Source organism: Homo sapiens, chromosome 9 (genome assembly GCF_000001405.40).
Source record: "Homo sapiens chromosome 9, GRCh38.p14 Primary Assembly".
Lineage (NCBI taxonomy): Eukaryota > Metazoa > Chordata > Mammalia > Primates > Hominidae > Homo > Homo sapiens.
In genome coordinates this window covers 93,113,330-93,121,018 of record NC_000009.12, presented here as the reverse complement: position 1 = coordinate 93,121,018, position 7,689 = coordinate 93,113,330, and the positions used below count along the sequence as shown (strand labels likewise).

Genomic DNA, 7,689 nt, shown 5'->3' with positions numbered 1-7,689 from the left:
AGGACCCCTCACCCAGTGGAAACCTGGCTCCCGGGCCGCCAGTGTCTGGCGTTTCACTCTCTTCTCCTTGGTCCCCCATCCTTCCCCAACCCCCCACTACCCATTCTGTTCTCCCCACCGCCCCTCCCAGCCCCAGCCCCTCATCTCCCTGGATGTGGAGCATCTGGTGGCCTGAGGTGGGAGTGGGGTCAGCCTGCCCCGTCCTCCATCCCGCACTGCCTCTGTGTCCCCGCTGTGGGTCCCCCGACCTGGCCCCTCCAGCTGAGGTACCTGTGCATCTCCTGCCAGCCTCTGCCCTTTCCTCCTCCAAGCAGCCTTCCAGGGGCACAGGGGAGGGGGCAAGGCCTCCAGCACTACTGAGGCCCCCACTTACTTCCTCATCACTTTTCTTCTGTCCCCACCTGGGCTGAGCCCCGTGACTTGGGGTGGCTCCAGCTCCCGTTCCTCGGATGGATGAGTGGCCCCCACCTGCAGTCCTGTGTCTGGGCTGACATCAGGTCTGCATAGCCCCATTGCTGAAGTGACAGAAAGCAGAAGCACTCCTGAGTGAGGGGGTCTAACTGGGCTCTGCTCTAAAGCACTCCCGGGGGAAAACAACAGCAACTACTGAGTAGGTGGACCGCGTGGATGCCGAGAAGCTGAGCTCGTGGCACTGCTCTCTCCACTTTTGTGTTTGTCCCATAGAGGGTTTGAAAAGTAGTTGATATGGGAATGAGTTCTGAGATGTGCTGAGTTGAAAAGGAAGCTGCGAAGGTATACGGTGGGTGCGAAATGTGCTCCTGACAGGAGGCAATGTAGCATTGGCCGCAGGTTGCGTGGCCAGCGCTGACTCAGATGCATGCCGCCCAGCGCTTGGTCCCTGATTTGGCCATGGCCTGCAGTGTGGGCTGGCTGGCAGCCAGGCAGGAGGGAGGGCCCCCTGTGTGCCTGGCCTCACACACCAGCAGCCGGATGTTGGCCAACACATGTCTTAGCTCCTCCTTTGGCCAGGAGAGGAAGTTCACTGGGACCGAGTCGGAGGGGTGAACCCAGATGACTGTGCTGGGCCCTGGGCCATCCCCAGTTGGATGTGTGTGCCCTGACCCCCTGCAGTCCCAATGCCCAGGTGGCCTCCCCTACTCAGACGCCCATGCTGGCCGCCCCCAACCTCCCTGCCCACCAACTCCCAGGCTTATTCACCAACCACTCCACCAGCTCTGACCCTGACTTCTGGGGTTCCCATCTCAGTCCTCAGCCTGTGCTGCTGCCCCCTGAAGAGCATCCTTCCAGGCCCCCGTCGGCTGGCCGGGGCTTAGCTCTAAGGTTACTCCAGAGGCCGTCCTGACCAGTCTGATGCCGCCCCTCCCTGATCACTGTCTTGGCCCCATTACAATTTATGCTCTGGTGCCTTGGGATGGAGTCACTGTCCATGTTGCCAGAGACAGTGCGGCCAGGTGGACTCTCCCCTGGAGCTGGAGTCTGAGTCCAGCCCAAGTCCAGGGCAGGCACTCCGAGAATGAGTGTTCTGCCTGCTGGGTCTCCTGAGGGCCAAGGGGCTCTGCTGGAGCTGGGGGCATGGCTTGGCACCCGCATCCCTGTCTGTGCTTCTCCTACTTAAGGATCCTTTGTCTGACCTGGCTCTCCTACCAGATGCCATCACCTATCTGCAGCCTGTGTCCTCAGCACTGTCCAGCATATAGTAGGTGCTCAGTAAATGTCTGGGGCAGAACCCACTCACTTGCCTGTATGTGCTAGGCCCTGTGCATGTGTCACAGCAGCCAAGGGACAGACAAAAAACAGGCCCAGGAGCTGCTCAGAGCCAAGCTACCTTCTGGGAAGGTTTGACAGCGCCTATGGGGTCCTGGGACCTGATGTATCCACTCCAGCCAGTCCTGCCCGTGGATTCAGCTCTGTTCTCACGGGGGACCTGGAAAGTGAACAAGATGCACCCACGAAGTTGGGTGGTGGGGGGGGACATGGAGGGACACACAGGGAGCTCAGGAGGAATGGGCAGGGAGGTCAGTAGGTGACCTGGGATGATGGCGAGGGGCCATGCAGAAGTCTGGGAAGAAGGTTTGAGGGCAAGGAAGCCTTTGCACAAGTCCTGTGAGCTGGGCTGGTGTTGGGGAAGCAGTGAGGTGCGGGGGCAGGTAGGGGCAGTCGCATAGAGCTGGAGATGACCAACTGGGCAGAGTGTGATGGGAGGGTTTCCTAACCTCTTTCCTATAACAGAGAGATTATTAGATAGATTGATAGATGGTAGATACGTGGGTGGATGGATGGATGGATGAACAGACGGACGGACGGATGATGGATGGATGGTCAGATAGATTAGATGATTAGATAGATTAGATAGATAATAGATGATAGATGCTGGATGGTCAGATGGATGATTAGATAGAGATGATTGATAGAAGCTGTTGTATTTGATGGAAAAGAGTAAAAGATGAAAAGATTGACTGATAGATGAGAAATAGATGACATATGGATAGCTTGATAGATGACGGATAGAAGATAGATGTGAAGGCAGGCATAGATCTCAGTGGGTTGTTCCAAGGTGAAGAGGTACCGCTGTGCCAGCCCGAAGCCCAGTCTCGGCCCCTCACTCCCTTACAGGGATCCCTTGCTCAGGTCTCTTCATGGCTTAGGTGCCCTGTGCGTGTCCTTGACACTGCTTATTCCTGCCCACCTAAAAGCACTGGAAGTGTCTTCTAAGTCTTGTTGGATCTACAGGCTCCCTCTCCCAGGGCAGTGCTTTCTATCTGGTTCATCCTTGAAGGACCTGGCCCATTCATTCCCATGTGCAGAGTAAGGATGAGGGCAGCTCATGTCAGATGAGTGGGGAGGCAACTGGACCTCCATTCAAGGTGCTGGGCCCAGGCCTGGTACGGCCAGGCAGGGAGGAGCACCTGATTCTGGGTGTATTGGCCATTTGTGACAGAACCCACGCCACACCCTACGCCCAGCCCTCCCCTCCATTTCCTAGGGCCTCCTCTTCCACCTGTGTTCAATCAGAGTGGAGTGCCTGTTTCTTCACTGCATTATTCTTTTTTTTTTTTTTTTTTTGGCACTGCATTATTCTTAACAATCATAGGACTGGGCCCAGCATGGTGGCTCACGCCTGTAATCCTAGCACTTTGGGATGCCTAGACAGGTGGATCACCTGAGCTCAGGAGTTCATGACCAGCCTGGACAACATGGCAAAACCCTGTCTCTACTAAAACTACAAAAAAATTAGCTGGGCACGGTGGCACATGCCTGTAATCCCAGCTACTCAGGAGGCTGAGGCACGAGAATTGCTTGAACCCGGGAGGTGCAGGTTGCAGCAAACTGAGATCGCACCACTGCACTGCAGCCTTGGCAACAGAGTGAGAGATTTCTGTATCAAAAAAAAAAAAAAAAAGGTCAGGCACGGTGGCTCATGCCTGTAATCCCAGCACTTTGGGACGCCAAAGTGGGCAGATCACGAGGTCAGGAGTTCGAGACCAGCCTCGCCAACATGGTGAAACCCCTGTCTCTATTAAAATACAAAAATAAGCCGGGTGTGGTGGTGGGCGCCTGTAATCCCAGCTACTCAGGAAGCGGAGGCAGGAGAATCATTTGAACCTGGGAGGTGAAGGTTGCAGTGAGCCAAGATCGCACCACTGCACTCCAGCCTGGGAGACAGGGCAAGACTCAAAAAAAAAAAGGGGCCGGGTGCAGTGGCTCATGCCTGTAATCCCACCATTTTGGGAGGCTGAGACGCGCGGATCACTAGGTCAGGAGATCGAGACCATCCTGGCTAACACAGTGAAACCCCTTCTTTACTAAAAATACAAAAAAAAAAAAAATTAGCTGGCCGTGGTGGCAGGTGCCTGTAGTCCCAGCTACTCGGGAGGCTGAGGCAGGAGAATGGCGTGAACCTGGGAGGCGGAGCTTGCATGAGCCAAGATCGCCCCACTGTACTCCAGCCTGGGCGACAAGAGCCAGACTCCGTCTCAAAAAATAATAATAATAAATTAGAGGTCTGAATGCTTTCATATTTTTCTTCTCTTTCTCTCAAATACTTTACTTTAGAGGAAACACTAACTCCAGGTGCTGTTGACCTGTTGTGACCGCAGGAAGCTGCCCCACCAGCTGCAGCCTCTGTGGCCCCCAGCCCAGCACGTCCTCGTCCTTCCAGCCAGTGAACAGCCGGGTTCTCCCACCAGCTGTCTTCAGGCCAGTTTTAGGCCAGTGTAGCCCACTCCCTCCAAACCTGTGGCTGCAGTAGGGTCTGTGGAGACCCACCCCTGGTCCCTCACCCCCCTGCAAGGTAGTGCTAGGGTCCCCTCCCCAGATCTGATCAAGATTTGGGGTCCCACTGCAACCCCCATCCAGCACTTGCCCAGCCAGGCTGCGGGAGGGTGGGTGTTCCTCGACTGCCAGAGTCCCCATTCTCATGCTAACGTTACAGCTGGGGGGACCAAGGCTCTGAGCTGTGACATGACCCCAGCAGGCCGTGGTGACAACAGCATGCCCCCAGTACTCTGTCTCCCGAGTGCCCCTCAGGTGTGGGGGACAGTAGGGCGCACAAGAGGCTGGACCCCCTCCCAGATTCTGAACCTGTCTGCATGAGGGTGGGTGTCCAGGCTCACCCAAGGAAGGCCAGAACCCTGTGGCTGCTGAGACCCAGGGTTTGTGCAGAGGTGTGAGAGGCACTGAGTGGGCAGGACCCCTGTGAGCCCTCTATGGAGGAGCCACCGGCCCCGGTCACAAGGCACTGAGCCGGCAGAACTGGAAGCAGCAGCACAACAAAGCTGCGTCAGCACCCCCAAAACCCAGCCTGTGTTTGTAGTCAGCAGGGTCATTTCTCCCAGACCGGTACCGTGGATTGTGCAAGACCAGCTATACTTCCGGCCTCTGAGCTCAAGTGCCCTGTGTCCTTGCTGACCTGTGACAAATATACTCCTGGGTTCCATACTAGGTCCCCCAACACCCCTCCCTCACCCCTTCCTCACCCCCACCCTCACCCCTCCCTCCCTCCCTCCTCCCTCAATTCCTTCCCTCACCTCTCCCTCACCCCGTCACCTCCCTCCTTCACCCCTCCCTCACCCCCCCATGCCCTCCTTCACTCTCCTTCACCCTCTCCTTCACTCTCTCTCTCCTCCCTCAACTCCTTCCCTCACCTCTCCCTCACCCACTTCCACCTCCCTCCTTCACCCGTCTCTCACCCCCACCCCTCCCTCACCCCCTCCCTCCTTCACCCGTCTCTCACCCCCTCAACCCTCCCTCACCCCCTCCCTCACCCCTCCCTCACTCCTCCTTCACCCCCTCTCTCACCCCTCCCTTATCCCCTCCCTCACTCCTCCCTCATCCCCTCCCTCACTCCTCCCTCATCACCTCCCTTACCTCCTCCCTCACCCCCTCCCTTACCCCTCCCTTACCTCTCCCTAACCCTCTCTCACCCCTCCTCACCTTCTCCCTCACTCCCTCTCTCACCCCTCCCTCCCCCCAACTCCTTCCCTCACCTCTCCCTCACACCCTTTCACCTACCTCCTTCACCCCCCTCACCCCTCCCTCACCTCTCCCTCACCCCTCCCTCACCCCTCCCTCACCCCTCATTCACCCCCCTCCCTCACCCCTACCTCACCCCCTCCCTCATCTCCTTCCTCACCTACCTCACACACCCCCTCATTCCCCTTCCTTCATCTCCCTCCCTCATCCACACCCCCTTCCTCACTACCCCTCTTTCCTTCACTCACTCTCCCTCACAACCCTCTGCATTTCACCTCCAGCTCTCCCACAACCCCTCCCTCACACCAAAGCTTTGGTAATGGGAGTTCCCTCGACCCCAGCATCTCCTACCAGCTCCTGCACAGTTCTGGATGTCAGAACAGCATCCCATGTTCAGGTGTGGTAGCTTGGAGGAAACTGCTCTTCTTACTGGGGTATCATGAGGGCTTCCTGGAGGAAGTGGCATTCCTGAAGGATGAGTTGATGAGAGGGGCTGGTAAGGAGTCCCAAGCCGAGGGAGCAGCACGGTTTTTGCCTGAACACCTGCAGCACAGGTGTGGAGGCGCAGGACACGGCCATCTGTGGGTGTAGTGTGGAAGCGGGGACTCAGGGCAGCCAGGAGGGCCTCACGTGCCCAAGGGTGCCTTCCCCTCCCCTGGGGACCTAGTTCACTGCTGGTCACAGGAACTGGTTGGCCCGGTGGTTAGCAGAGCTGGGCCTGATGGGCGGCTGAGGCACAGACATGGGCGCTTATCATTCTCCCTCCTCCAGGTTCCAGCCTCAAAGGGTGGGGCAACCACCAGGCGGGAGGCGGCAGATGCAAGAGTAGGCCTGGCTGGTGGTCGAGGATGTCACAGACTCAGCCCCAGGCTTGAGTCCAGTTGGTCAGGGATGGAGCTGGGGGTAGCTGGGCGCTGGGAGGGCAGTCCAAGGACAGTGGGGCTCAGGACCTGGCTGACATGGGCCTCGGGGGAGGGCGGTGGGTGCACACAGATGGACAGGGGAGTCAGCAGTCCTCGGGCCAGGCAGCCCCTCACTGAGGAATGACACCCTGCCCAAGCGGCCTGGGGAGTCAGGGCCTCAGGTCATGTCAGGCAGCCCTGAGGAGGTGCGTGTGTCCTCCACGGCCTCAGGTGGGGCCACCTAGGACTTGCCCAGGCCACACACTGGCCTGTGCCCTGCCTGCCTCGGAGGTTTCCTACCTTCAGCTGACGCAGTCATAGAATGTTACTGTCCCTGGAGACCCCTCCTTCACCCTCCAGGGGCAAGTCACACCTGTCTACACCCTTCACCCAGACACCTGTCACCTTCACTAAGTGTGTCTCCTTTACCCAGGCATTAAAGGCATCTGTAGCAAGGTGGTAAATTCCTAAAAGGATTTCTGAGGGGGAGGGGGTGCTGTGACAGAGCGCAGGCTCAAGGAGGAGTCCCGAGGGAGGGATCCCATTTCACAGGTGGGCAAAGGGGCTGAGACTGGAGCACAGGCCCTGGCCCCATGGCTCAGGGTGGAGGAGGGAGAGGGCAGCTAGGGCTGTCCCCCGGCCACCCCACTCAGTGGGCGCATGGCAGCCTGGCAGGTGGGAGGGCTCTGAGGCACTGGCTTTCCTTGCCCCTGGCCCTCAGTTCCCTGAAGGGGCAGGCACTGTGATGACCCAAGCAGCAGGGCTGCATGGTAATGGGATGTCATGTCCTGGAGCTCCATACTCCACCGGCAGCCTGGTTCCCACTGTCATGTGCGCTGGGACCCTGCGACTGAGCAGGGTCCCTCCAGGAGCTGCGCCCATAGCCTCGCCCTGCCAGTGGCATCGCCCCAGCATTAGGGGTTCCCAGCACCTTCTGGGGCAAAGCCTGGGTGCCTCCAGAAACCCCCTGGAAAATGCAAACTCATGATGATTCTGTGGGTTGACAAATATTCTCGTTTCCCCACAAAAAGGCTTGGGGGAGGAGCTGACAAGGGGAGGGAATCAGGTGTCCGGTCCAGGCTCAGCAGCTGGGGTGGGGGGAGTGGGTGTGTGTGTGTGTGTGTGTGTGTGTGTGTGTGTGTGTGTGTGTGGCACATGAGGTGTGAGGAGGGGGCAGTGTGGGGAACATCTGAGGTGGGGAGGCAGTGCCTGGCGGCTTATCCGAGGCAGGTGAGTCCATGTGGAGGGCGTCCTGTCTGGGGGGTCTGTGCCAGCAGCTGGATGTGGGGATGCTGGGAATACCAGGGCCAGCCCCAGCTGGAGCAGCCATAGC

At 58.3% G+C, this 7,689-nt stretch overlaps 6 annotated features.

The window, feature by feature from the left end:
• Positions 4 to 819: an enhancer, noted in NCBI's record as "H3K4me1 hESC enhancer chr9:95882482-95883297 (GRCh37/hg19 assembly coordinates)". NCBI's record gives its function as "activates a minimal SCP1, AML or CMV promoter by ChIP-STARR-seq in naive and primed H9 embryonic stem cells {active_cell/tissue: H9 hESC(naive and primed)}" and the evidence as "EXISTENCE:reporter gene assay evidence [ECO:0000049][PMID:30033119]".
• Positions 4 to 902: a biological region, named in NCBI's record as "H3K4me1 hESC enhancer GRCh37_chr9:95882482-95883297".
• Positions 673 to 902: an enhancer, noted in NCBI's record as "active region_28615". NCBI's record gives its function as "activates an Ori minimal core promoter by ATAC-STARR-seq in GM12878 lymphoblastoid cells {active_cell/tissue: GM12878}" and the evidence as "EXISTENCE:reporter gene assay evidence [ECO:0000049][PMID:35858748]".
• Positions 820 to 1,636: an enhancer, noted in NCBI's record as "H3K4me1 hESC enhancer chr9:95881665-95882481 (GRCh37/hg19 assembly coordinates)". NCBI's record gives its function as "activates a minimal SCP1, AML or CMV promoter by ChIP-STARR-seq in naive H9 embryonic stem cells {active_cell/tissue: H9 hESC(naive)}" and the evidence as "EXISTENCE:reporter gene assay evidence [ECO:0000049][PMID:30033119]".
• Positions 5,722 to 6,669: an enhancer, noted in NCBI's record as "H3K4me1 hESC enhancer chr9:95876632-95877579 (GRCh37/hg19 assembly coordinates)". NCBI's record gives its function as "activates a minimal SCP1, AML or CMV promoter by ChIP-STARR-seq in naive and primed H9 embryonic stem cells {active_cell/tissue: H9 hESC(naive and primed)}" and the evidence as "EXISTENCE:reporter gene assay evidence [ECO:0000049][PMID:30033119]".
• Positions 6,670 to 7,618: an enhancer, noted in NCBI's record as "H3K4me1 hESC enhancer chr9:95875683-95876631 (GRCh37/hg19 assembly coordinates)". NCBI's record gives its function as "activates a minimal SCP1, AML or CMV promoter by ChIP-STARR-seq in primed H9 embryonic stem cells {active_cell/tissue: H9 hESC(primed)}" and the evidence as "EXISTENCE:reporter gene assay evidence [ECO:0000049][PMID:30033119]".